The 26,899-nt window shown below is 51.5% G+C and overlaps 1 protein-coding gene across 5 annotated transcripts, besides 5 other annotated features; it reads left to right on the forward strand.

Moving 5' to 3' along the window:
• Positions 8-87: a silencer, noted in NCBI's record as "silent region_3452". NCBI's record gives its function as "represses an Ori minimal core promoter by ATAC-STARR-seq in GM12878 lymphoblastoid cells {active_cell/tissue: GM12878}" and the evidence as "EXISTENCE:reporter gene assay evidence [ECO:0000049][PMID:35858748]".
• Positions 8-202: a biological region, named in NCBI's record as "ReSE screen-validated silencer GRCh37_chr11:63706395-63706580".
• Positions 17-202: a silencer, noted in NCBI's record as "fragment chr11:63706395-63706580 (GRCh37/hg19 assembly coordinates)". NCBI's record gives its function as "represses an EF-1alpha promoter that drives an FKBP-Casp9 reporter gene in an ReSE screen in K562 erythroleukemia cells {active_cell/tissue: K562}" and the evidence as "EXISTENCE:reporter gene assay evidence [ECO:0000049][PMID:32094911]".
• NAA40 (N-alpha-acetyltransferase 40, NatD catalytic subunit) lies at positions 96-18,413 on the forward strand. 5 transcript variants are annotated; one of them, XM_011545254.3, is made up of 9 exons: positions 96-196; positions 6,934-7,029; positions 7,819-7,895; positions 8,045-8,097; positions 13,332-13,427; positions 13,501-13,659; positions 13,850-13,933; positions 15,066-15,143; positions 15,432-18,413. In XM_011545254.3, the coding sequence occupies exons 3-9, from the start codon at positions 7,893-7,895 to the stop codon at positions 15,571-15,573; spliced, it is 615 nt and encodes a 204-aa protein (XP_011543556.2). In that variant the 5' UTR covers positions 96-196; positions 6,934-7,029; positions 7,819-7,892; the 3' UTR covers positions 15,574-18,413.
• Positions 6,137-7,066: an enhancer, noted in NCBI's record as "H3K27ac-H3K4me1 hESC enhancer chr11:63712515-63713444 (GRCh37/hg19 assembly coordinates)". NCBI's record gives its function as "activates a minimal SCP1, AML or CMV promoter by ChIP-STARR-seq in naive H9 embryonic stem cells {active_cell/tissue: H9 hESC(naive)}" and the evidence as "EXISTENCE:reporter gene assay evidence [ECO:0000049][PMID:30033119]".
• Positions 22,321-22,878: an enhancer, noted in NCBI's record as "H3K27ac-H3K4me1 hESC enhancer chr11:63728699-63729256 (GRCh37/hg19 assembly coordinates)". NCBI's record gives its function as "activates a minimal SCP1, AML or CMV promoter by ChIP-STARR-seq in primed H9 embryonic stem cells {active_cell/tissue: H9 hESC(primed)}" and the evidence as "EXISTENCE:reporter gene assay evidence [ECO:0000049][PMID:30033119]".

Raw genomic sequence — 26,899 nt, forward strand, 5'->3', positions numbered from 1 at the left:
TGCCCTGCGCCGGTTCTGCGCCGGCGCGGTACGAGGGCGCGCGGTTGGGCGGGGGGGGGGGGGGAAGCTGCGAGGCGCATGCGCGTTGCAGGGCCGTCCGCTCTGCTGCCGCCGCTGTTGCAGCCACCGCCGTTGCCGCCTCCCTGCCGGCAAGTGTGTGAAGAAGAAGCTGAGCGTTGTCGCCGCCGCTATGGGGGTGAGTGAGGCAGAGAGAGGAGATGGGAGGTCCAGGGGCGCTCCTCGCTACCCTCGCCCCCTTTGTTCTTAAACCCCCCTCTCACGTGACCCCGACCCCCTCCAGCCTCACGTGACCCCTGACCCCCACATGACCCGACTCCCCCATTCTAAGGGTCCCTACGCTAGGCCTAGCCCGGGAATCCTCTGGAGAGCCCCTGGTCCGGGGCCCCACCCCCTCGGCGCCCCCAGCGTCACGCCCGCCCCTTCCTGCTTCGCGGACCCGTTACTGGCCTCCCCACCACCGTCCCCCGCGGGGACCCTGGGGTTAGCTTCCCGCTCCCCCAGGGTCACTCATCACCTGGCTGTCACCAGCTTCGTCGCTTTTCACATCCGAGGTCAACCCTGGCTTGGAGGGAATTGAGGCCCAGAGGAAAGAAGGCGCCTAGCCAAGGTCATATTGTCGGGGGCGTCAGACCCCACCTTGGGCCTCCCGAATCCCAGTCCACTGCCCTTCCCGTTACTCGAGTCTCAGCGAAGCCGGTTCCCCTACACTCTTTCGAAACCTCTCCACCAGGTTCCTGCTGCTCCTGATAAACACAGCCTTCCTTTCCCATAGACTCCTGCCTTCGACGCCTCCTGGTTGCAATGAAATGGTTCTTACGACCGCTTGGGTTGTTAGGGGTTTTGGTAGTGCAGGTGTTTTTTGCAAGGGGAGGGCTGTGCAGGTGTGCGGGGAAGATGCGGGGAGGCGGGGGCGGCGGCCCAGCCGCGGATGGATATTGACCACTTGTTCCGTGCCGGCAGCCTGGAGGTGCATTTTAGTTTACTTTCCCGGGATATAGGGTAGGGCAGAAGTTATTTGCAAGTTTCTGTGCGTTCACCTTACTAAGTCTCAATTACAGCAGTATCAGTCACCCTCCTAAAAAGATAACGCTTTTCCTAGTATTGGCTGTATTCTTTTTTTTTTTTTTTTTTTTTTTTTTTGATATGGAGTTTTGCTCTTGTCGCCGAAGCTGGAGTGCAATGGCGCGATCTCGGCTCACTGCATCCTCCTTCTTCTGGGTTCAAGCGGTTCTCCTGCCTCAGCCTCCCCAGCAGCTGGGATTACAGGCGCCCGCTACTATGCCCGGCTCATTTTTGTATTTTTAGTAGAGACAGGGTTTCACCACGTTGGCCAGGCTGGTCTCGAACTCCTGACCTCGTGATTCACCCGCCTAGGCCTCCCAAAGTGCTGGGATTACAGGCGTGAGCCACCACACAGGCCTATATTAGTATTTACATGGAATTTCCATCACCTTAAGGGAACCCTGACTTTGGAGCCCGAGGTACCTCACTTCCAGCCCCGTCTTCGCTGCTGGTGGTATAATAGTGTGCCAGTGAGTTGGCCTTTATGTGTTTGAATTTCCTCACCTCTGTAATTGGGATGCTAATACCTCCCCCTTAGGGTAGTAGTGAAGATTAAGTGAGATAATGGATGTAGATTGCTAAGGAGGTGTCTCCTAAGTAGTGGCTGTTATTTTTGTCTGTATCCTCAGCCTTAACTTTACTGATCTAAAATGGATTTGTGCTATTTTTAACCCATTGGGTTTGTCCCTACTGTTGTTAACCTAGTTTTTTTTTTTCCCGTCACTCCACTATTTATCGACTGAACAAATCAACTTATTAGACAAAAATAGTTGTCTAATCCGTGTCAAAACAGTCATCGTGTTTTAACAAATAGTTTTGGGTATTACGTACTTCATATGTAGAAAACCAAGTCTAGAGACCTTAGGCATATTTAACCTAAATTTTGGTGAAAGGTCCTAGACACAGCCATTGTTGAAACTAAATGAAACCTGTGTCCCTTAGTAACTGTCTAACCAGAAGCAGCCACTGCGGATTAAGCAGAAAACAAGAAGTGTAACATGCCGTTCTAGTTCAACACTTCCTCGTTGGTTGGACTGAAATAGCAGGCCCTCAACACCATAAGACAGGGTGAAGGAAAAAAGAAATATGCCCCAGAGATTCTGCGATCCTTGCTTCCTTTAGGGCCTCAATCTTATACTTTACAGATGTGTTTCTCACATGAGACCCTACAAAGTCTCTTCTGGCCTAAAATTGACAGTAAGAGAGACTTGAATTCTCCTCCCTGAAACAGCTGGAACCGTCTCATCACCCTCATTCCACAACTGTGGGTGCTGGGGAAGTCATCATTCCTTGTAGTTACCCTGTGGCAGAGCCTGGCCTCAGGCTGAGTGAGGCTTCAGATGGAGCGCTTTCTCTTCAGTTGCCACACACGTGTCCTAGTTGCCACATTTGTGTCATCTTTCAGGAGTTAGAATTTATATTTCTCTTGCTTCACCAAAAACAGATTCTTTTTGGATATTGGATAGTATATGGGGTAGAGACATTGATACTGAAAATCTAAGAGATGCCAAATTCTTTTTCTGAAAAGTGGCTCCTCCTCCCATCTGGATGTTTCTTTTCTTTTCTTTTCCTTTTTTTTTTAGACAGAGTTGTGCTCTTTTTGCCCAGGCTGGAGTGCAGTGGCACAATCTCAGCTCACTGCAATCTCTGCCTCCCAGGCTCAAGTGATTCTCCTGCCTCAGCCTCCCGAGTAGCTGGAATTACAGGTATTAACCATCATGCCTGGCTACTTTTTTCTGTTTTTAGTAGAGACGGGGTTTCACCATGTTGGCTAGGCTGGTCTTGAACTCCTGACCTCAGGTAATCCACCCACCTCCGCCTCCCAAAGTGCTGGGGTTATAGGCATGAGCCACCGCGCCCAGCCTGGGTGTGTTTTTTTTAATTTGTCTTTATGACCCCTTCCAGTCGTAGAACTGTGTGTGGAGTTACTTTTTCAATGGGAATAGTAAGGGGAAGAGTTTTACACTGCACATGGAAACATTTATGTAACACTTTATAACAAAAAATGCCATATACATGTGATTGTGACATGGTGGAAGGAGCATGACTTTAGGGTTCAAACGTGGATTTGGATCTTGGATGATTCATTCAGCAGATGTGAACTGAGTATCTGCTGTTTGGTGAGCACTGGGTGAACATAGCCAGATAAAGCGGATCTACCCTCACCTCATGGGGAGAGTTGGAGGGAGTGGGAGGAAGAGACCGCTTTGAGAACTCTCCTCACCGCCTCTGTGACCCTGCAAGTTCCTTAACTCTCTGTGCCTCAGGTTTCTCATCAAAGAAGTAGTCACACCTACCATGCTGGGTTGTGAAAAGTAAAATAGATCACCTTTATTAAAGCACCGGCAGAAGATCTGAGGGAGGTCTTTGTAAACAGAAGTCCCCTCCTGCGACTGTTGGTGTAGACATTGCGAGCCCCATTTTATGGAGAAGAAAACTGAGAGAGAAATTTTGAGCAACTTGCTGAAAAGAGCTTAAGTAACTTGCCTGAAGTCACGCAGCTAGTAAGTGAAAGAGCTGAGAATCAAATCCAGGTCTTTTGATTCAAAATCCCGCACTCTCTTTTTTTGTACAAAGCTCCCTTGGAAAAGACACTTAACCACAGTGAGCTTTACTGTTCACTGTGCTTATTATCCATTTTAATTAGGAGCATTTTCCTGTGTCCCTGTAGGACAGCCTTACTTCCACAAGGCAGGGGCAAAGCTAATTGGAACAGTAGGAGACCACTTTTCCTAGTGCGGCCCCTCCCTGCCTGTCTGGCCCAGCTGGCTGCACCCTGCCTTCTGCCCCATGGGCAGGCAGCGGAGCTCGTAAGGGGTTCTTGAGTTATTGCGGTCTCAGGCCATGGCAGCTCCAGGCCTTGCTCTGAGGATTGCCAGGTCTACATGAATGAGCCCACAAATCTACTAGAGGCCCGGCTGGCCCTCCTGCTGCTTGTTCTTGGGAATTACTGCTCATGCTTAGAAGTGAGATGGAGGGAACCCAGGCTTCAGTGCTTTCTGGGTTCTGGGCGTTACCCTTGCCCTCCAGCACCTTTGATCCCTGAGCCCTGTATAAGAGAACAAGCATGTAGGGTGGAGTAAGGGAGCTTGTACCTGCACTGAAGGTGTGCTGGCTTCTAACCTGCCCTTACAGCTCCAAGAGGCCAACATTTGTACCCCCATCTTCATGGAGATGGAGTTGCTTTCATAAGTCATTCTGGGGGTGTCAGGAAGAGCATAGGCCCAATCTGATTGACGCCAAAGCTCATGCTCTTCTGCCCCATGGTGCAGCCCTGGACACCTTCCATCCGACGCTTCTCTGTCCCTCACCTCTGCCTCAGTGCAGAGGGTAGGGTGTATAGCGGCACTGTGTTGGCACGCTGTTACCAAACCAGCCAGGCAATGAGAAAGGAGTTGCCGAGTGGTTGCTGAGGGCTTCTGAAGCCCAGGCCTTATCGTGGCAGGGTGCAAGAATCTTTGTTGATGACCAAGTGGAAGTCCACTATGCAGGACATAGGCGCCTCAGTAGGGGACAGTGTGGCCAGTGGAACAAACATGATCTGCAGCCCATCCCTGGGATTGAGTCTCCCCTCTGCCCTTTATTCACTGCAGAACTGAGTGGTCACATTGTCTCTTCAAGGCTCAGTTTCCTATTGTGTAAAGGGAAGTGATAGTTTCTGCCCTGATAATTGAAACCATAACCTAGGCCGGGTGTGGTGGCTCACACCTGTAATCCCAGCACTTTGGGAGGCCAAGACAGGAGGATCGCTTGAGCTCAGGAGTTTGAGACTAGCCTGGGCAACATAGTGAGACTCCCCCATCTCTAAAAAAAATAAAGAAAAAAAAAGAAACATAATGTTTGTAAAGGTACTTTGCAAGCTTTATCTCTGTGTTGTCTTGAAATCTAAATTTCCAGAGAAAAAGATGAATGCTCTAAACCTGTCCATGGTAGAGGGAGGCTAGTTCTGTTCCAGGAGTCCAGCCTTATGAAGACAGTCTATTCTCTATTTTGTTCCTTCCTCTAGGGAGGTAAGATATGAGATCTTGCCTGTGTTCCACAGCGCTCAGCCATGAGATAATTAATAGCTGGTGTTGGTAGAGTTTGTGGCTATAAGAACAATCCCTGTGAGTTCCTGGTATCTGAACTCCTTTCTTCTTGGTTGATTAAAGTAGGAGGTAAGCAGTGTCATTCCTTGGAAAATAGTGGGTAGAACTGATTCTGAGAACTTCCCCAGCATCTGGTTTTTCAACTCATGCAGAAGGTTAATCGCTCTGAGTGTCCTTTCCTGGGGCCAGTCCGTGTCAGGGCTAGATGTAATTGGGAGTTGTCAAACCTCTCCAGAGAGCTCAGGGAAAGGAGGGGTGTTGGGGGGGAGGTGTCAAAAGAGGCTGCTCTATTGGTAAAAAGCAGAGCCAACTTACCAGTGCCTTTGGGATGCCTTCTGGGGACCAGCTGGGTGGTGCATGCAGTCTGCATGCCTGTGCTCTCTTGTTGTCCTGGGGAGAGAGAATGAGAATAGCCTTTTATTGAACACATACCATATTAACCCTCATAAGGACCCTCAGTCATCAAGCCAGGGGAGGCTCAGAGAAGTGCTGTGCCTCGTCCTAGCACTGCAGAGGGTGGAGAGCAGGAAGAGGCTTTGGACAGCCCTGGCGCAGTGGCTCACGCCTGTAATCCCAGCACTTTGTGAGGCTGAGGCAGGCGGATTACTTGAGGTCAGGAGTTAGTGACCAGCCTGGCCAACTTGGTGAAACCCCGTCACTACTAAAAATACAAAAATCAGCTGGACATGGTGGTGCGCTCCTGTAATCCCAGCTACTTGGGAGGCTGAGGCAGGAGAATCGCTTGAACCCAGGAGGCAGAGGCTGCCGTGAACCGAGATCTCACCACTGCATTCCAGCTTGGGTGAAAGAGTGAGACTCCATCTCAAAAAAAAAAAAAAAAGAAGAGAAAAAAGGAGGTTTTGGATGAGGCCTGCCAGGTGTCAGAGCCTGGCTCTTGCCGTGTGTTACCTGGCTTTTCACAATAGGGTGAGTGGGTCTTAGGCCTGAGAGAATCTCACGTCGGCCTCAAAACAGGACCTGATCTAGAAGCAGCTGTGGGCAATTTGCCATTCGCTGCTCTATGCCAGGAGAATCCCCACTTGCTGCTCCTCTGCTGCCCTGCTGCTGACTGTGTGCCTGCAGCTTCGTCTTGCTGGCCATGTGTCATCTGTGTCCTGAGGTGAACCCTTTGGGCCCCTGCCCTCTGCCCTGTCACTGGGTGTGCCCTGTCACTCGTTGGCCTTAACTGAGCAGGGCTTCTGGGAATGGCTCTGTGTCCTTGAGTCCGAACACGGTGGCCCCCACTTGAAATGAGACCCGGCTCCCACAGGAGCTGTGGCCAACCAGATCTTTGTCTCCCAAAGCTGGAAGACACCGAAAAGGCTTTGAATAAACTTAGGAACAGCCATCAACGGCTACCTTAGATGCTGTCTCCTCCCTGAAGCGGTCTTCAGTGTGTCTAAAGTTGGGTGTTCCCTCCTTAGGAGGGAGCGGGTGAGTGAATATTTACTAAGTGCCTGCTGGGGGCTGGCCTGCTGTAGGCGTTGTCAGCTGTTTCGCTGGGTCCCCACAGTGTCTGTGTCAGGACGGCCAGTGCTCTTTCTGAAGGGAAGCTGAGAAGTCTGGTGACCTCTGAGGACTCCCCACTACAAAATGACCTGCTTGGGTCTTTCCGCCCCTCCAAATGTGTGGCAGCAGAGGTGGGAAATTTCTCACTGCTGGGCCAGGCCTGTGGATGCAGGGCCCTTCGATTCCTTAAAGGGAAAGTCAGTGCTTGATTGGCCACAGCCATTCCAGCTAACGTTGCTTTTCCCTGTTGCAGAGAAAGTCAAGCAAAGCCAAGGAGAAGAAGCAGAAGCGGTTGGAGGAGCGAGCAGCCATGGATGCCGTTTGTGCCAAAGTGGACGCTGCCAACAGGGTGATTCTCCCTTTCTTCCCAGTCCCTGCCTCCTGGGACTTCAGCTTGGTTTATAATTTGACTTATTTTGTCTCCACCCTGTGGCAGAATTGTGACACTACCCACCCACACCGCCTCTGCCTCCTTGCTGTGCAGGGAACTGAGCTCATACCTGTGTGTTGGAAGTTGGCGCCAGCAGTTGGCCCAGGTGTTTGGGAAAACGTGGATTCCAGTGAAGTGGCTGCCTCCCTGTGGATCTTCTTCCTTATGAATAGAGGAGGATCTAGATAATTTTTTTTTCTTTTGTGTGAGACAGGGTCTCACTCTGTCATCCAGGCTGGAATGCAGTGGCACTATCTCGGCTCACTTCAACCTTGCAGCCTCTGCCGCCTGGGCCCAAGTGATCCTCCCACCTCAGCCTCTCAATTAGCTGGGACTATAGGTGCCCACCACCACACCCGGGTAATTTTTGTAGAGACGGGGTTTGGCCTTGTTGCCCAGGATGGTCTTGAACTCCTGAGCCCAAGCATTTCACCTGCCTTGGCCTCCCAAAGTGCTGGGATTACAGGCGTGAGCCACAGTGCCCAGCCCCTGCCTCCATTTAGTATCCCATTTTTTGGTCATTCTTTTAACCCACTCATAGTAAACACTCATTTATAAGGATGTGGCTCAGGGGCTTGATTTTCCATTTGGAGTTGTAACCAGGTAAAGTCAGTGTGCAGCAGATCAGGTAGCCTCTTCTTTGGGTTAGCTGTGCTGTGAGCAGGTTGTATGCCCACAGGCTAATGAGGTCTCCTCTTGCCCTGTCAGGTGATGCCAAACTTAACTCTCCTGGGCCTTTCCACCAAAGCCTTCCTCGCACATGTGACTTCAGAGCTAGGCAAATGGTGGGTTTTGGGAGGCTGCTCCTGGTTCTGAAGTTAGTCTCCCGTTGTGGGTCCCCACAGCATCCCACTCCAAGACAACAGCTCTTGGGATAGGATCTGCACCTCCGCCCCACTTGTCTGTGCTGTTCCTCTTTTCTTTCCCTCCACAGCTTGGAGACCCTCTGGAGGCTTTCCCAGTGTTCAAGAAATATGATAGAAACGGGTGAGTCACATTGAGCATTACCAACTGCTGTCTCCTCGAGTGTCTTCAGGAATTCCCTTTCCAGAGTAGGCTTCCTCAGACACAAATTTTCTCATTGTTCTTCGTATTTACGAAAAAACAGGGCTGGGTGCGGTGGCTCACGCCTGTAATCCAAGCACTTTGGGAGACCGAGGTGGGTGGATCACATGAGGTCAGGAGTTCGAGACCAGCCTGGCTAACATAGTGAAACCCCATTTCTACTAAAAATACAAAAAATTAGCTGGCACGGTGGCGATCGCCTGTAATCCCAGCTACTCGGGAGGCTGAGGCAGGAGAATCACTTGAACCCGGGGGGCAGAGGTTGCAGTGAGCCGAGATAGCACCATTGCACTCCAGCTTGGGTAACAAGAGTGAAACTCCATCTCAAAACAAAACAAAACAAAACAAAACAAAAGCAGAAACTGACTCGTGCCCTATATTGATATAAAATCCCCCAGGTAGGGTGGCAGAAGAATCCATAAATGAGCAAAGATTGCACTTAATCTCAGACTGATGTCTCTTTAGATAAATTTTTCTTTTATTTTTTGAGATGGAGTCTTGCTTAGTCACCCAGGCTGGAGTGCAGTGACGCAATCTCGGCTCACTGCAACCTCCGCCTTCTGGGTTCAGCCGATTCTCCTGCCTCAGCCTCCCAAGTACCTGGGATTATAGGTGCGTGCCACCACACCTCACTAATTTTTGTGGGTTTTTTTTTTTTTTTTTGAGACGGAGTCTCACTCTGTCGTTCAGGCTGGAGTGCAGTGGTGCGATCTCGGCTCACTGCAACCTCTGCCAGGTTCAAGTAATTCTCTGTCTCAGCCTCTCAAATAGCTAGGATTAAAGGCACCCGCCACCACGTCCAGCTAATTTTTGTATTTTTAGTAGAGTCAGGGTTTCACCATCTTGGCCAGGCTGGTCTTGAACTCCTGACCTCATGATCCACCTGTCTCAGCCTCCCAAAGTGTTGGGATTACAGGTGTGAGCCACTGCGCCCAGCTAATTTTTGTATTTTTAGTAGAGATGGGGTTTCACCATGTTGGCCAGGCTGGTCTCGAACTCCTGACCTCAACTGACCCACCTGCCTCAGCCACCCAAAGTGCTGGGATTACAGGTGTGAGCCACCGCGCCTGGCCTGATGTCTCTTCAGGACTGATTATTCTCTCTGCAAAGAATCATTGAGCTGAAACAAACTTGGAAAATTATCTAGGCTGACACTCACATTTAATGCATGGGAAACTGAGGCCCAGAGAGTCAAATGAGCTTTCTGAGTTTATGGAGTTTCCCCTGACAGCTGAGGGGCTTTTAATTTCCAATCTAGTGCTCTTTCCCTGAGTATACAGTATAATTGTTAAAAGCCAATTCCTGGCTATTTGGCCCTGAACAAATTACTTTTCTTCTTTAAAAAGAAAAATATTTGCTGGGCGTGGTGGCTCACGCCTGTAATCTCAGCACTTTGGGAGGCCGAGGTGGGCGGATCACGAGGTCAGGAGATCGAGACCATCCTGGCTAACACGGTAAAACCCCGTCTCTACTAAAAATATAAAAAATTAGCCAGGCATGGTGGCGGGCACCTGTAGTCTCAGCTACTCGGGAGGCTGAGGCAGGAGAATGGCGTGAACCCGGGAGGCGGAGCTTGCAGTGAGCCAAGATTGCGCCATTGCACTCCAGCCTGGGCAACAGAGCAAGACTCCATCTCAAAAAAATGTATATATTTTTTGGTAGAGAAGGGGTCTTGCCTATGTTGCCCGGGCTGGTCTCAAACTGCTGTCCTCAAGTGATCCTCCCACCTCGGCCTCCTAAAGTGCTGTGCCCAGCTGACCCTGAACAAATTACTTAACCTTTCTGTTCCTCAATTTTCTATTTAAAAATGGGCCTGGGCCAGGTGTGGTGGCTCATACCTGTAATCCCAGCACTTTGGGAGGCTGAGGTTGGAAGGATCGTTTGTGCCCAGGAGTCCAAGACCAGTCCTGGCGACATAGGAAGACCCTGTCTCTACAAAAAAAAAATTTTTTTAATTAGCTGGGCATGGTGGCACATGCCTGTATTCCCAGCTACTGAGAAGGCTGATGTGGGAGAATTGCTTGAGCCTGGGAGATGCAGGCTGCAGTGAGCCATGGTAGCAGCATTGCACTCTAGCCTGGGTGACAGCAAGATCCTGTCTCAAAACAAAACAAAAACCCAAAAACCAAAAATGGTTCTAATAATAGTACCTTTCTCATGGACTTGTCAGGAGGATAAGATGTAAAGTGTTAGTTCCTGCAGCATAATAAAAGCTAGATAAGTGTTTGCTGTTATTTTATTTTAAAATTTTATTTTAGATTCGCGGGGTACATGTGCAGCTGTGTAGTGGTGGGGTTGGGCATCTAGTGTACCCATCACCCAAATAGTAATCATCGTACCCAATAGGTAAATTTTCAACCCTCACCCTGTTTGCTGTTACTATTACTGATCCAGTTAACTATAGGCTCTGGAGTGAAGGCCCCCTCACGTTTTTTTCTCGTTTTGGTTTCTAAAATAGGAAGTATAATCTGCCTTACCTGAGATGCTGTTGATGAGTTGTGCTTCCAGAATGTAACATCTTGGCTTGGGGATAAACTGGGGCTCTGGGGGATTGAATTGTAGCTGGGCTTCTTAATAACTCTACTTGGAGAAGTCACTCATATTCCTCAAGCCTCATTTTCTTACCTGTCAAATAGGATGATGATGCCAAACTTGCAAGCTGTTTTTTTTTTTTTTTTTTTGAGATGGTGTCTTGCTCTGTCACCCAGGCTGGAGTGCAGTGGCGCCATCTCGGCTCACTGCAAGCTCAGCCTCCCGGATTCACGCCATTATCCTGCCTCAGCCTCCCGAGTAGCTGGGACTACAGGCACCCGCCACCACGCCCGGCTAATTTTTTGTATTTTTAGTAGAGATGGGGTTTCACCGTGTTAGCCAGGATGGTCTCGATCTCCTGACCTTGTGATCCGCCCGCCTCGGCCTCCCAAAGTGCTGGGATTACAGGTGTGAGCCACCGTGCCCAGCCAAACTTGGAAGGTTTTTTTTAAGGAAGAAAGAGAATATATGCAGCTCAGTAAGTAGCAGCTGGTATGAGGTTTTTTTTGTTTTTTTTTTTTTTTGAGACAGAGTCTCGCTCTGTGCCTAGGCTGGAGTGCAGTGGCACGATCTCGGCTCACTGCAGCCTCTGCCTCCTGGGTTCAAGTGATTCTCCTGCCTCTACCTCCTGAGTAGCTGGGACTGCAAGTACATGACATCACGCCCTGCTAATTTTTGTATTTTTAGTAAAGACGGAGTTTCGCCATGTTGGCCAGGCTGGTCCCGAACTCCTGACCTCAGGTGATCCACCTGCCTCAACCTCCCGAAGTGCTGAGATTGTAGGCGTGAGCCACTGCGCCCGGCCTGGAAAGTCTTTTGACATACTTTAGATATCCCATATTGTGATATCTCATAGTGTTTTCGTTTTTGTTTTTGAGACAGAGTCTCGCCCAGGCTGGAGTACAATGGCATGATCTTGGCTCACTGCAACCTCTGCCTCCCTGGTACAAGCAATTCTCCTGCCTCAGCCGCCGGAGTAGCTGGGATTACAGGCACCCCCCACCACGCCCGGCTAATTTTTTGTATTTTTATTAAAGATGGGGTTTCACTATGTTGGCCAGGCTAGTCTCGAACTCCTGACCTCATGATCCGCCCGCCTCGGCCTCCCAAAGTGCTGGGATTACAGGCGTGAGCCACTGTGCCCGGCCTCATAGTGTTTTCATATTCCGTATTCCCATTGACTTCCAGAAATGTGGAATAGCTCCAAAACAGGCATTGCCAGCCAAGTCTGGGCTCCTCTGGTGCCTTGAATTTTGTGTGGTTCCTGTGGTTGTGATCTTACTTTCATGTACTTTAATGGAGAATTCGTACCTGCAGGTGGGCTTTGGACATTTTATAGTTAAGATAGGTGCAGTGCTGTGTTTGGGCAGCTGTGATGGCTAAGTGGGTGATAAAGAAAGGAAGATGCTTCAGGGGCAGGGAGTTCTGAATTCATAAGGCTGAGTGTGGTGTGCCAGTCAGTAGAGGTGATGGGATTCCAGTGCGTACATCCTCTGGGGGTTGTGTCAAAGGTCACTGAAAGGTATTGATACGGGAGCTCTTTAAAGGCTTAGAGTTTGCTGACTCTAGTCCTTTCAGAATGTAGTGCTCTCTAGGGAATGTGATTTCACAGATCAGTCAAGGAGTTTAACTGTTTTTTACTTAAATTTCATTTAGAAACAGATACCTTAACACTTAGGCATTTGTGGGTTTAGAAAAACAGTGTTGGGCTGAAGCCTGCTTCACCCGGTTTTTTTTTGTTTGTTTGGAGACAGAGTTTCGCTCTCACTGCCCAGGCTGTAGTGCAATGGCACGATCTTGGCTCACTGCAACCTCCGCCTCCCAGGTTCAAGCGATTCTCCTGCCTCAGCCTCCCGAGTAGCTGGGATTACAGGCACCCACCACCATGCCCAGCTAATTTTTTTGTAGTTTTAGTACAGACGGGATTTCACCATGTTGGTCAGGCTAGTCTCGAACTCCTGACCTCAGGTGATCCATATGCCTTGGCATCCCAAAGTGCTGGGATTACAGGTGTGAGCCACCATTCCTGCCTCAATCTGTTTGATCAGCTGAGAGTATCCCCCCTGCTCAGATGAGGCAGGCAGGACTCCTGGGGCGGGGTGGGGCGTGTTGAGCCGTAGTCTTCTCGAAGGACCTAGGGTCACCCAGTGGTTTTGAAGGCGCAATTGGTAGATAAGAGGAATGGGGTCCCATGGGAGCCTAGTGAGGAGTCAGCTCAGAAATTACAGCAACAGGAAAAATGCCTAAGGGCAGGAACTAAATAACAGAAGACATGAGTGTTTATAACAAAGTACAGAAGAGACAGAAAAGGTAGAAAAAGAATAAAGAGAGAGCAGAGAGGGACAAGAAGTTTACAAAGTGCCGAGGCGGATTAGGACAGCTTGGGGAGGCAGGAAACGGGCCTTGTGGTTGGGGGGTGGGCCGTGTGGCCACAGTTGTTAATCTCAGCCTGAAAGACTTTGTTCCTGCACCTTCTCTAGTCATGCTGGGGCAGATACAGGGTTGGCTTTTCTCTGTGCAGTAACTGAGACTGGGCCTTCCTCCCTGTGATTCTGAGGGAGGAACAGCAGTGCCCTGGCAGGAGTGCTGTAACCAATTCCGTACACGTCCTGTCCTCTTCTCAGGTTGAATGTCTCCATTGAATGTAAGCGAGTGTCTGGACTGGAGCCAGCCACCGTGGATTGGGCCTTCGACCTGACCAAAACGAATATGCAAACCATGTAAGCTTGTCCCAACCAGGGGAGCCTAGTTCCTCTCGCAGCTTTCCCGTCTGACTGCTCCCAAATTCCCCAGGTATGAGCAGAGCGAGTGGGGCTGGAAGGACCGAGAGAAACGGGAGGAAATGACAGATGACCGAGCCTGGTACCTCATCGCGTGGGAAAACAGCTCCGTCCCTGTTGCCTTTTCTCACTTCCGGTTTGACGTGGAGTGTGGGGATGAAGTCCTGTACTGGTAGGAGCCATGGCTTGGGGGAGGTAGGGGAGAGAGACCCTGGCGATGTTCCAGGCACTCCAGCCAGGTGACAAAGCCCCTGGACCTACCTAGGTCTATGAGCTGCCAAGGACTGCAAGCTCCTCTGCCAGACCTTACAGCCTCTTCATGTCCCATCCTGCACGCTCACCTCTCTGCTTTCTTCACCTAGCTATGAAGTGCAGTTGGAAAGCAAGGTGCGGCGGAAAGGCCTGGGGAAGTTCCTCATACAGATCCTGCAGCTCATGGCCAACAGGTAAGGCCTCCCTTCTTAGGAGGCCCATATAGCACTCAGTTGGAAGGAGCTGTCACTGAGGCACTTGCCATTCTTTGAGCCTTGTTGGAGGAGGAGGCTCATAGGCATGTTTTGGGAGAAAGGTGTCTTAGAACCCTCTCAGTAAGATGCTCCCTGCCTTATTATGACTCCAGATTTTGTTTGTTTAGCTCAGTGCAGTGAACATCTTTTTTTTTTTTTTTTTTTTGAGACAGAGTTTCACTCTTGTTGCCCGGGCTGGAGTGCAATGGTGCCATCTTGGCTCACTGCAGCCTCCACGTACCGGGTTTAAGCAATTCTTCTGCTCAGCCTCCCAAGTGGCTGGGATTACAGGCGCGCACTGCCATGCCTGGCTAATTTTTGTATTTTTAGTAGAGACGGGGTTTCTCCATGTTAAGGCTGGTCTCGAACTCCTGACCTCAGGTGATCTACCTACCTCAGCCTCCCAAAGTGCTGGGATTACAGGCATGAGCCACCACACCTGGCCAGTGAGCATCTTTTGAGTTTCTAATCTCTGCCACCTTCTGTACCGAAGTAATGGTGCTACAGAGAGGAAGTGGGAAACATCCTTGCTCTGGAAGAAGCCAGTCTGGTCAGGGCCGATGCCTGTGCAGTCTGATCAGCCTGTGATGGGGGAAGCAGTGAGTGCTGTGTGGGGGTCCAAGACCTCCAGAGGCTAGAGGCCAAATTCAGGAACACTCGTGTGGGTGAAAGGGAGGTAACAGACAAAGGCAGAAAGGAAAGGAAGCATGACCTTAGTCTCTGTGTCTTTTCTTTTTTGAGACAGGGTCTCACCCTGTCACCCAGGCTGGAGTGCAGTGGTGTGATCGTATCTCACTGCAGCCTCTACCTCCCAGGCTCAAGTGATCCTCTAGCCTCAGCCTCTGGAGTAGCTGGGACTAAAGGCACATGCCACTATACTGGGCTGATTTTTTTAAATTTTTAAATGTTTTGTAGAAATGGGGTCCCACTATGTTTTCCAGGCTGGTCTCTAACTCCTGGGCTCAAATGATCCTCCCACCTTTGCCCCTCAAAGTGCTGGGATTACAGGTGCATGCCACCATGCCTGGCCATGTTTCTCTTTCTAAAAGGCGTTTGCTCTGCTTTCTTCCAGCACACAGATGAAGAAGGTTATGTTAACAGTATTTAAACACAATCATGGTGCCTACCAGTTCTTCAGAGAAGCGTTGCAGTAAGGAGCTGGGTGTGGGCCCTTCTGGGTGGTAGGTGGGCCTGCCCAGGGCCATTTTTCTGGTCCTGGCCCTCACTCATTCTGATGCCTGAGCTCATGGTCCAGTGGTCCATGGGGGTTCAGGTTCAGGGAGATGGTATGGCAGTGCTCTCTGATTTGGTCCACTGTCCACCTCCTGCACCCTCATCCTAAGGGTCTCATCAGTGTGGCTGGTAGAAGAGTTCTCGGGCCAGGGAGGAAGGCACTCAGCTGCCTGCCACCAACCCTTTTCTCCTGCCTGCCTTGCAGATTTGAAATTGATGACTCTTCCCCCAGCATGTCCGGTTGCTGTGGGGAGGATTGCTCCTATGAGATCCTGAGCCGGAGGACCAAGTTTGGGGACAGCCATCACTCCCACGCGGGTGGGCACTGTGGTGGCTGCTGCCACTGAACTCTCAGAGCCACTTTCAAGTCACAATGCTCTCTCCTAAGGCCTTTCCTCTTTCCTGGTCTCACTGTTCACCGGGTGTCCTCAGAGCTGTGGCCTCCCCAGCCCTGCACGTGCCAGGCTGCGCCCTGAGAGCACAGAACCCTGGGGAGAAGTGGTATCAGCTGCTCCTCCTCTCCTAGGAGACCAGAGTGCTAGAAGGGAATGAAAGGGAGAGGGAAGAGTAGGTGGGGCCGGGCAGTGAAGCTCATCCTCCACAGTGGCTGCCTCCTCATTTGGCTCCTGGGGCCTGCAGTGGAGGTTCTCGCACCTCTGCAGCCCCTAGATTCCTGGCAACCTCCCCTCCCCTGACACATACACACTTGGACAAATGGAATGTTTATGTCCACCTTTATGAAAGTTCTGGAGTCCTGGGTCTGGGGTTTGCTGGTCCCCAAAGAGGAACACACTGGGTGTAAGATCTGGGTGTAGAGGGCGGCTTCAGAGAGACTCACGCTTGCGCAGTTGGAATTGCTGTTAACGGAGACTGGGAAGATCTTTTGTGCCAAGATGCAGGGAAATGAAGAAAGCTCTTTCCAGCTGTTTTTATGGATTCATGGAGTGGGCTCATGTTGGGACCAGCTGACTCTGGGAGGAAGACTGCCTCTCCATCGCTGTCAGAGAGCCTGAAAGGACCAACAATGAGGTGTTCTTGGGACCCGCCATGGGGATGATTGCTTCTCTAGGCTCCTGGATGTTGCTGCATTCTAAGCTTAACCTCCTGGTCTCATGGCAGTGACTTGAGCTTTTGATTCATAGAAGAAAGCCAGAGGTTCTGCTTGTTCTTGTCTGCCAGCCCTCGTCGTTCTTTCTCCTCTGCCTCTCACCTCTACCCCAAATACCTCTGTTCTTAGTCTCAAGGGGAGAATAACATCAGGGAGCCCCTCATCTTCCCCAGAAGGACTTCTCGTTCCTCATGTAGTTAACTCCATTGATTTTCCTATCTTGGTGCTGATAGCTCTCTAAGGGTAGGGCACACCTCCCCACAGCCACCCTCCCTCTTCAGAGAGCCCCCAGCCAGCAGCAGGCCCCTCTGCCTGCACTCCTCAGGCTTGCCCCTCGCTGCCTCAGTGAGGCACTAGTGCCACTGCCGTGGCCCAGCCGGGCCATAGCTCAGGCTGCAGCAGAAATGCCTCTCAGTGGCCAACAGTTGCTTTTCTCTCTGGTGTCACCCTGTGGCAACAGGCTGGAGCAGGGGAAGGAGAAAGCCTTCCTCTTCTCTCATAGGATAGAAAGGCAGGCTCAGAACTAATGCTCATCCTGATCTCTAGGCCTTGTTCCTCTTCCAGGGAAGAAAAGCCAAATCCTTATCAAGGAAAAAGCACCTAACAGCTCCCTTTGGATATCCCTGAGCTCTGCTGTGGGGAGTATCATAAAGGTTCTAGCCTTCGTGAAGTTGTTCTCGTGGAGGTCTGTTGGTCCCTCTGACCTCAGCATCTGCTCACATCCCACCCTCTGCCCAACTCTGGCAGTCTCTCCTGGCAGATCTCCCCAGAGTGGTCCTTGCTTCTCACCTGGATTCCTGCTTGTGCAGGAGCCTGTGTACACAGGGCCTCCCTCACCCAGCCTGGCCCCTCTGCTGAGCACTTTGCGCTGCTCTTGATGGGCAGCAGTGGGACTGGGAACTCCTTAGAGAGGGCCTTGCAGCTTTACACTGGAATAAGTCTGCCTCTGCCTCTGCCTCACCCTGCTGGCTCCTGGTGGGTTTCATCCCAGGCAGAGTTGACATTGCTGGAGGGGTTTGGTGGACTCCTAAGAATCATGAAACCACAGGAGCATGTTTAGGAAGAGATTTGTCTCTGGTCCCTGTCTCTGAAAGGACACAGATGCTAAATATTTATTGTCTTAGATCATGGATTCCTGATACCTCTCACTCAAGGGGACCAAAAGGGACCCCCCCGTGTTCATCCCTTGTAAGGTGAGTTCAGTCTACGTTGTCTCTTTCCAGTCACTGGATACGTGGCACCAACTGGTCAATGGGTGCTTGGTGCCATACCCTGCTCACCCTAGTCTCTGCAGGCCATGTCCTGAAGGGTTCCTCAGGAGGTCGGGACTAGGGTGGGAGAGGCACTATCTGAGACCTGCAATCACTCTTGTTGGTCTTGAGCCCATTCATTTCCAAAACATCCATCTTTCTCCACTTCCCCCAGGTCTTGGTTTTGAGAAACAGCAGGCATGGCTGAGTGCGGTGGCTTACACCTGTAATCCCAGCACTTTGGGAGGCTGAGGCAGGCGGGTCACCTGAGGTCAGGAGTTCAAGACCAGCCTGGTCAACATGGCAAAAGCCCATCTCTACTAAAAAATACAAAAATCAGCCAGGCGTGGTTGTGGCCTGTAATCCCAGCTACTCGGGAGGCTGAGGCAGGAGACTCGCTTGAACCCAGGAGGTGGAGGTTGTGGTGAGCTGAGATCACGCCATTGCACTCCAGCCTAGGCGACAGAGTGAGACTCCATCTCAAAAAAAAAAAAAAGAGAAACATAGCAGGCCTTTTTTACCAGGCTTTTTGTGTTTTGTTTGTTTGTTTGGAGCATGTTAAGATTTTTTTAAGATTTTTAAAATTTTAGTTATATCCACCCTATTTCAGGTTATTTTTGTTGGTGTCAAGTATGTATAGGACATGTGAATGGTTCTTTTTAATTTTTTTTTAAGAGGAAATTTGGAAGATAAACTCCTTGATATATATATATATATATATATTTTTTTTTTTCTTTAGCAGCTTGTTATCACTGGAATCAAAGGGAAAAAGTGATCTCTTCTTGCATTGGTTGTATTTGTATGTCACAAATAAAAGACACTTTGGTCAGCTGCTGAGATGGCTTCCTGATGCTGGGGCACCATGGGCAGCGTGGATCTGGGAAGCTCTGGACCCTGAGCCTGTCCCAACATTGGGCCCGAACATCAGGAGGTGCATAGCTATGATAGCCCCATGCTGGAGAAAAAACTCAGGCTGTCCGGGGCAAGCAGCCAGAGCTGGGAACAGAGACCAAATGTATGTGTTTGTGCCACTTCCCAGGAGTTCTGAGTAGAGGCCAAAGGTGTTCTGAAGGGCGCCTGCTTTGCATCTTGGAGAGAAAGTCCCAAGCCAGGCCTTGTGACATTTGAAATCTGTGTCCAAACGTAAATTCCAGTGCCCATGTGTGGGAGGTGAATAGACGAGAGTGCTTCTTTCCTCTTTGACTTCATTGGGTTACTCAAAATATTCTTTGTCTCTTAAGATTCCTGCCCTCTTCCATCCATTCACAGAAGACAAGGCTCCAAGGAAGGGGAGCTCATGTCAGGGCTGCTGGGGCAGGAGAGTTATGAGCTGGTGGAGGCTGTGACCCCCTAGTGTGACAGATGGAGCTGTGCAGGTTGTTCCCCAAGCAGGGCTCCTGCCAGCCCTGGCCCGGGGGAGCTGGAGCTCAGTACTTTCTGTGGACAGTGGAGGGGCTGCCCCATTGTACTCTGCTTGGTGGTCTGCATCTGCTGGAACGGGGAGCAGGAGACCCTGATCCACATGGAGTGTTCGTGCCCTGGCAGAGCAAGCATCTGGGGAAAGAGGAGCCAGGGTTATACCTGTTCCGTGGGTCCCAGCTGTGGCATGTTGTGGCCTCTCCCCTGTGGGCAGGGGCACACCCGCAGGTGGTTTGTGCAGCTGTCTTATCTTTGAGGCCCAAAGAAAGGCAGCACAGCCCTTGGGAAGGGAGAGCAATTTGCCTGGCGAATCACATGGCCAGTTTCCCATGTGACAGAATTCTGCCCCTCAAGTTATTTGTTCCTTGAAGGCTGTGTTTTCATCCCAGGCAGAAACTTCCTGGAATGGCCATCCCCTTGCTGAAGGGTGAATGGCCACAGTTGGAGAGCTTGGGGCCATTCCTTCATCCCTGCCGGCTGAGTGCAGGGAGAGTTGAGGTCTGCACCCATTCCTCCTCCTTCTCCACCTTCACAATGGCCTGGGCCCTCCACAGTGGCTGCTTCAGTGAGGTGTGGTGTGACTTCTGGGTCTGCCCCATGCTGCTGCCACAGCTTCAGTGGGCAGGCGGAGCAAGAGGCACCACCGCTGAGCAGTAGACAGTCCAGAGCCTGGGCTGGACTGAAAGGGACTATGTCCCCAGCGGGAGGGACGCCACTCACCAGATGGTTTCTGCCGCCAGCTTTGAAGGTAGTTCAAACTAGGGGGCAGGCTTTTCTAGTTTTGGCTAGAATACTCCCTCCCCAAGTGCAGCAGAGGTTGTTCTATACCCCTGAGGACAGACGGGGTCTGGGGAGAGGGGATGTGTTGCTGTGGAGCCTGGTGAACTAATGTGGTGGTGTTACTCCCAATCTAAGGATAAATTGCCAGCGCCATGGCTCACGCCTAGAGCCCCAGCACTTTGGGAAGCTGAGGTGGGAGGATTGCTTTAGGCCAGGAGTTTGAGACCAGGCTGGGCAACATAGTGAGACCCTGTCTCTAAAAAAATATATTTTTTGATTAGTTGGGCCTGGTGGCAGGCACCTATAATCCCAGCTACTTGAGAGTCTGAGGCGGGAGGATTGCCTGAGCCTAGGAGTCTGAGGCTGCAGTGAGCTATGATTGTGCCACTGCACTCCAGCCTGAGTGACAGAGCAAACAAGACCCTGTTCTTAAAAAAAAAAAAAAAAATTGCAGTCATTGTGTCTTACGCCTGTAATCTCAGCACTTTGGGAGGCCTAGGCAGGCAGATCACTTGAGGCCAGAAGTTCGAGACCAACCTGGGCAACATGGTGAAGCCCTGTCTCTACTAAAAATAAAAAAATTAGGCTGGGCGCGGTGGCTCACTCCTGTAATCCCAGCACTTTGGGAGGCCGAGGCGGGTGGATCACGAGGTCAGGAGATCGAGACCATCCTGGCCAACAGGGTGAAATCCCGTCTTTACTAAAAACATAAAAATTAGCTGGGCTTGGTGGCGCATGCCTGTGTTCCCAGCTACTTGGGAGGCTGAGACAGGAGAATCGCTTGAACCTGGGAGGCGGAGGTTGCAGTGAGCCGAGATCACGCCATTGTGCTCCAGCCTGGTGACAGTGAGACTCCGTCTCAAAAAATTAGGTTGGACACAGTGGCTCACACCTGTTATCCCAGCCCTTTGGGAGGCTGAGGCAGGCAGATCACGAGGTGAAGCGATCGAGACCATCCTGGCCAACATGGTGAACCCGTCTCTACTAAAAATACAAAAATTAGCCAGGCGTGGTGGCACGTGGTGGAGAATCGCTTGAACCCGGGAGGCGGAGGTTGCAGTGAGCCAAGATTGTGCCAGATACTCCAGCCTGGGCGAAGAAGCGAGACTCCATCTCAAAAAAAGAAAAAAAAATTAGCTTAGTATGGTGATGTGTGCTTGTAATCGCAGCTACTTGGAAAGCAGAGGCTGCAGTGAGCCGAGATTGCCCCACCGCACTCCAGCCTGGGCGACAAAGCAAGACTCTCTCAAAAAGATAAATGGAGAGTGAAAAGTAACTTGCTCATGGGCCCAGTAGTAAATGGCAGAGCCAAGATTTGAACACAGCGTAGGAGGTGTTATCCCCGTTTCACAGTTAGGTAACCTGCAGCTTGGGAAAGAAAAGACAGGAGCAAGCCAAGGACACCCACAGCTGTGTACCTGACTAGGTCCCTTCCCTCCCTATGCTGCCTTGCCCCACGGCGACTGTGAGAGGCCCAGCTTCTTCCTGAGCAGGAGCTATGGGCCCCAGAGGCCTCTCCTGCCCCACCTTGCTACTCCTGGTGCTGGGGACAAGGGTGGTGTCTCCTGCTTCTGGCCTGCAATGCCAGGGTATTATGCAGTGCTGCCCTGGACAGGATGTCGGTTTCTGTGATTCCATCTACGTTCCTGGATTCCTACTATGCTGAAGTGAGCAAAGAGAACCTTAGAACCTGTATTGGGGCTTTAGGAGTCTGCTGTGGGTTGTTTTCTTTGTTTGTTTGTTTTTTTGAGACAAGATCTCTGTCACCAGGCTGGAGTGCAGTGGCACAATCAGCTCACTGCAGCCTCAACCTCCTGGGCTCAGGTGATCCTCCCACTTCAGCCTCCTGAGTAGCTGAGACTGCAGGCATACGCCATCACACCCAGCTAATTTTTGTATTTTTAGTAGAGAGAAGGTTTCACCATGTTAGCCAGGCTGGTCTCAAACTCCTGAGCTCAGGTGATCCACCCACCTCGGCCTCCCAAAGTGCTGGGATTACAGGCGTGAGCTCCCAAGCCTGGCCCTGCTGTGGAGTGTTAATTCTATTAAGGTGAACATTTAATAGTCCCTACGGACTGGCAGGGCTGGGGCTGAGGTCACATCATGTGGCGCTGGTGCTTAGTGCAGGCCACCCCAGTGCTGGAGGGAGGAGGCCCTGAGAAATGGGACCAGGCTGGGAGCCCCCTAAGGGGTGGAGGCTGTTTGACTCAGAGCAGGGCTTGGTAGGCCACAGCTGGGAGATCGGGAGCAGGGTGAGAGCCAGCTGTGGCTGATTTGGCTGTTGAAAGCCAGGCCCTGCACCTCTCTGGGGTCATGCTCTGATACAGGATGGCTCTGTTGCAGCAGGTGAGGCTGACGGGTGGCCTGGACACTAGTGGCTCCTGTCCGGCTCCCTGGCCCTGAGCCCCTCAGTGGTGACAAAGGACTAGGCAGCCACGTCCACTGAGGATCGTAGTGAGGTCTCAAGCCGCCAAGTGCAGGCACTGTGGATGGCGTGGGGCAGCACATGCCCTTGAAGTTGGTCATGATGTGGAACTGCCCCCGTGCCTAGCTCGATGCCTGGCAGGTGGGCCACACGGGTGTCACATGTGGGAGCTGTGGGGGGACCGCTCCTGTGGCGGCCCCTCTCCTGAATGTTGGATATATGGGATGGGGAAAGGTGGGGTATGTGGCTGGAGGGGTCCAGGGATGGGGCACTCAGGCTAGAGCCCTCTGAGGGTCCTGGCAGTGAGATTGGTGTCCAGGAACATGAAAAGGAGTGGGGACCTGCCCTAAGCTGATCAGGGGTCCAGAAACAAGAGAGGCCCATGGGTATTGGAGCTATGAGCGCAGGCTAGGGGCTCAGAAGGCAGAGGGGCCTGGATGTGGTTCCAGCCTGGTAGGGGTGAGTCTGGGGGCCAGCCCATGATGGAGGGAAACGTGGCCTGAGAAGCCAGTCTTCACCAAGCTGGAGCCACCGTCCCACATGGGTGCAAATGCGGTGATCTCGCCCTTACCACACAGGGCTGCTGGCTGTGGACTGCGTTCCGGAAGGGGTTAACCACCACAGGCTCTCGGCAGGCCCGCCCAGCCCTCAGCTTGCACCCTTCCCTCCCGCTGCTGGAACCCTGGGGTGCCCCAGCCAGTACAGCTGTGCCTGCCTAGAGAGCAACCCCTCCACCCCCAACCCCGCCCCCGACAGCTGTGTCTGGGCCTGTCCCCTGGATGCCTGGCAACAGCTGTATCCCAGGAAGAGCAAACACTCCTCTAAGATCCTTGTCTCTGTCCCGCCCCCTCCCTTGACCGTTGCCTGGTTAGGTTTCCCAAACTAGCTCTTCCAGTGATGCCGTCTCTCCCTCCATCTTCTCCTGGAGTTTGCATTAGCGCCCCCATTTTGCAGATGGGGAAGCTAAGGCCCACGGAGGGAAAGGTGCATTCTCGAGGTACCCAGCACCCCAGTGTTAGGCCTGTATCTCCTTCCCCGAGGCCCTTGTTCACCCTCCACCTCTGGGCACTGGGCCCTTCCTGCAGCTTCACTAGAGTCTCCTGCTGCTGCCGTCACCCCAAGAGTCATTCCCCACCCACAGGCAGATGAAGAGGCCCCAGCTGCCCTCTGAAAGCACAGGGCTGGCTTCTTTGCATCCTCACCATGCAGCCCTCCTGGCCAGCCCCAGGGCTCAGTGCCTGGCACCCACCTGATGTGCCAGGAGGAGAGACCAGGCCAGGTAGGGAAACTGGATACCCAAAGCTCAGGTTCTTACCAGCTCCAGATCAGATGCTTTGGGAGGTGGCAAGCTCTAGAAAGTGTGCAGAGGAGGGGCAGCTGAGGGTTCTTACCTGCTGGCCCCTCAGGACTGGGGTGCAGCTCCCTCCCCAGGCCTCGCAGTTCCATATTTGGACAAGAGCAGCTGCTGGTCCAGAGCCTTTCATGGGGAGAGGGCCAGGCCTGGGGTGGGGAGACCCAGTGTTTGTCCAGGCCATGTGTAAGCAGTGGGTCTGGGGGCCGCCTCTGGGGTGGGGCACCTGGTATGACAATCAGTGACAGGAAGCCTGGACCAGCTCCCCTACCCATCGCCAAGGCTTGGGATCTATTCCTAGTGCCCCACTCAGGAGGGAACAGGTTGAGCCCGGGGATCAGAGAGACCAAGGGCTCAAGAGATTTAGGTCTCACCCCTTAGTAGGGAGGGACTCCCTAGCAAGCAATCGGAGCGTGGGGGCAGTCCCAGGCGGGGGAACTGAGCTCCCCGTCTTTGCAGGCAGCACAGCAGCTGTCCAGGGTGATAGAGGGGGTCCCTGTCCTGTGGAAGGTTCCTGTCACAGAGAGCCTGTCACCACATGGGGCACACCTCCCTCATTGGACCAACAAACCCCCCTCTCCTTGCTCGTTTATTATTTTGAGATGGAGTCTTGCTCTGTCACCCAGCTTGGAGGGCAGTACTGCGACCTCGGCTCACTGCAACCTCTGCCTCCTGGGTTCAAGGGATTCTCCTGCCTCAGTCTCCCGAGTAACTGGGACTACAGGTGTGTGCTACCATGCCCGGCTAGTTTTTGTATTTGTAGTAGAGATGGGGTTTCACTATGTTGGCCAGGCTGGTCTCGAACTCCTGACCTCAGGTGATCTGCCCACCTCGGCCTCCCACAGTGCTGAGATCACAGACGTGAGCTACTGCACCCAGGCTTGCTTACTTTTAAGCAGTAAGAATTGCCCTAGGCTGGGCATGGTGGCTCTTGCCTGTAATCCCAGCACTTTGAGAGGCCAAAGCGGGTGGAATGTCTGAGCTCAGGAGTTCAAGACCAGGCTGGGCAACATGGTAAAACCCTGTCTCTTCTAAGATACAAACATTGTTTTGTAATATATTACAAAATATATACAAAAAAGTATATTATTGTAATATACAAAAATGTTTTTGTAATACAAAAATATATACTCTGCCCAGGTGGGAGGATCATTTGAGATTAGGAGTTCGAGACCAGCCTGGGCAACATAGCGAGACCTCATCTCTACTAAAAATAAAAAATTAGCCAGGTATGGTGGCAGGCGCCTATATTCCCAGCTGCTCAGGAGGCTGAGGCAGGAGAATTGCTTGAACCCAGGGGGCAGAGGTTGCAGTGAGCTGAGATCTTGCTACTGCACTGCAGCCTGGGCGACAGAGCGAGACCCCATCTCCAAAAAAAGAAAACGAGAATTGCCATATATGGAATCTTGGAAATACAGTAGAGACAGACCAAAAATGACCTACTTTCCCGCCACTATCTAGAGAACACTAGTGGTCACAATTTGTATGTGTCCTTCTAGATTTTTACATGCATATCTATTTCTCTATTTGTCTATTTTAGCAAAACAAGATCATATGGCATGTTATTTTCCCCTGCTTTTTCTTGTCTATTTTTATTGTTATTTTATTTATTTATTTATTTATTTATTTATTTATTTATTTATTTTGAGACAGGGTCTTGCTGTGTCGCCCAGGCTGGAGTGCAGTGATGCGATCTAGTCTCACTGCAACCTCCACCTTCTGGGTTCAAATGATTCTCCTGCCTCAGCCTCCTGGGTAGCTGGGACTACAGGCACATGCCACCACACCTGGCTAATTTTTTTATTTCTAGTAGAGACGGGGTTTCACCATGTTGGCCAGGTTGGTCTCAAACTCCTGACTTCAGGTGATCTTCCCGCCTTGGCCTCCCGAAGTGCTGGGATTACAGGGATGAGCCACTGCGCCTGGCCTTATTTTTAAAATTTATTTGTTTTGAGACAGAGTCTCTCTCTGTCACCCAGGCTGGAGTGCAGTGGCATGATCTGGGCTCACTGCAGCCTCTGTCCCCCAGGTTCAAGCAATTCTCCTGCCTCAGCCTCCTGAGTAGCTGGGATTACAGGCACCTGCCACTGTGCCTGGCTACTTTTTGTATTTTTAGTAGAGACAGGTTTCACCATCTTGGCCAGGCTGGTCTTGAACTCTTGACCTCGTGATTCACCTGCCTTGGCCTCCCAAAGTGCTGGGATTACAGGCATCAGCCACCACACCCAGCCTGGCCTTATTTTTTTGAGACAGGGTCTCGCTCTGTCATCCAGGCTGGAGTGCAGTGGCGCAATCATAGCTCACTGTAGCCTCACCCTCCTGGGCTCAAGCGATGCTCCTGCCTCAGCCTCCCAAGTAGCTAGGATTACAGGTTTGCACCACCATGCCCGGCTGATTTTTTGTTTTTAGTAAAGACAGGAGTCTCGCTATGTTGCCCAGGCTGGTCTCGAACTCCTGATCTCAAATGATCCTCCCACCTGGGCCTCCCAAAGCATTGGGATTACAGGTATGAGCCACTGCATCTGGCCTGTCTTGTCAAAAATTTTTAAAGTTTTTAATTGAAGTGTAACATACATACAGAAAAGTGCACAAACCGTGAAAGTCCCACCACTCACAATGGACTCATCACTAAGTGAACAGGGTGACCAGCATCCAGAAGCCAATCATGCCTCTTTTTGGCCCCCTGTCTTCCCTCTTCCCCTGGGGTCCCCACCACCTGACTCACACCTCGTGGCTCAGACCTGCTTGCTGTTGGGCTTTGTATAAATAGAAGCATGCAGCCTGTGCTCTTTCATGCCTGGCCTCTCCCCTCAACATTGTGGGATCCATCCGTGCTGCAGCTGGAGTTTGTTCATTTTCGCTATTCTGTCACATTTCATTGTATAAATGCACCATACAGTCTCACTGCTCTTTTGTTGAAGGACTGTGCCTGGATTCTGGGAAGGGTTGGTTGCTGGGAGGGATGGGGAAAGAGCAGAGACCTTGGTATTAATCCAACAGACAGACCTAGGTACAAGCCCTGCCTGGCACTAGCAGACTCAGCTGCGTTATGGAACCTGTCTGCCAGCCTCTCTTTCCTCCACTGTGATAGGTGTTCTGAGAGAAATGCATCACAGAGGCCTGAGGAAAGCCCTGGAACACAGCACAAACAAAAAGTTCAGTTTCCCAGCGCCAGAAAGTCCCCATCACCTCCTAGAGTATCCCCAGGCCCCTTGCCTGTGTTGGGGCTCAGGACACACCACTTCAAAATGTGACTGTAGGAGACCAGAATATCCCACCCTGAAATATGCTACTTTGGCATATTTTGAGCTGGTTACTCAGAGAAACTGCAGACCTAAGA

This window comes from Homo sapiens, chromosome 11 (assembly GCF_000001405.40).
Source record: "Homo sapiens chromosome 11, GRCh38.p14 Primary Assembly".
NCBI classification, from domain to species: domain Eukaryota; kingdom Metazoa; phylum Chordata; class Mammalia; order Primates; family Hominidae; genus Homo; species Homo sapiens.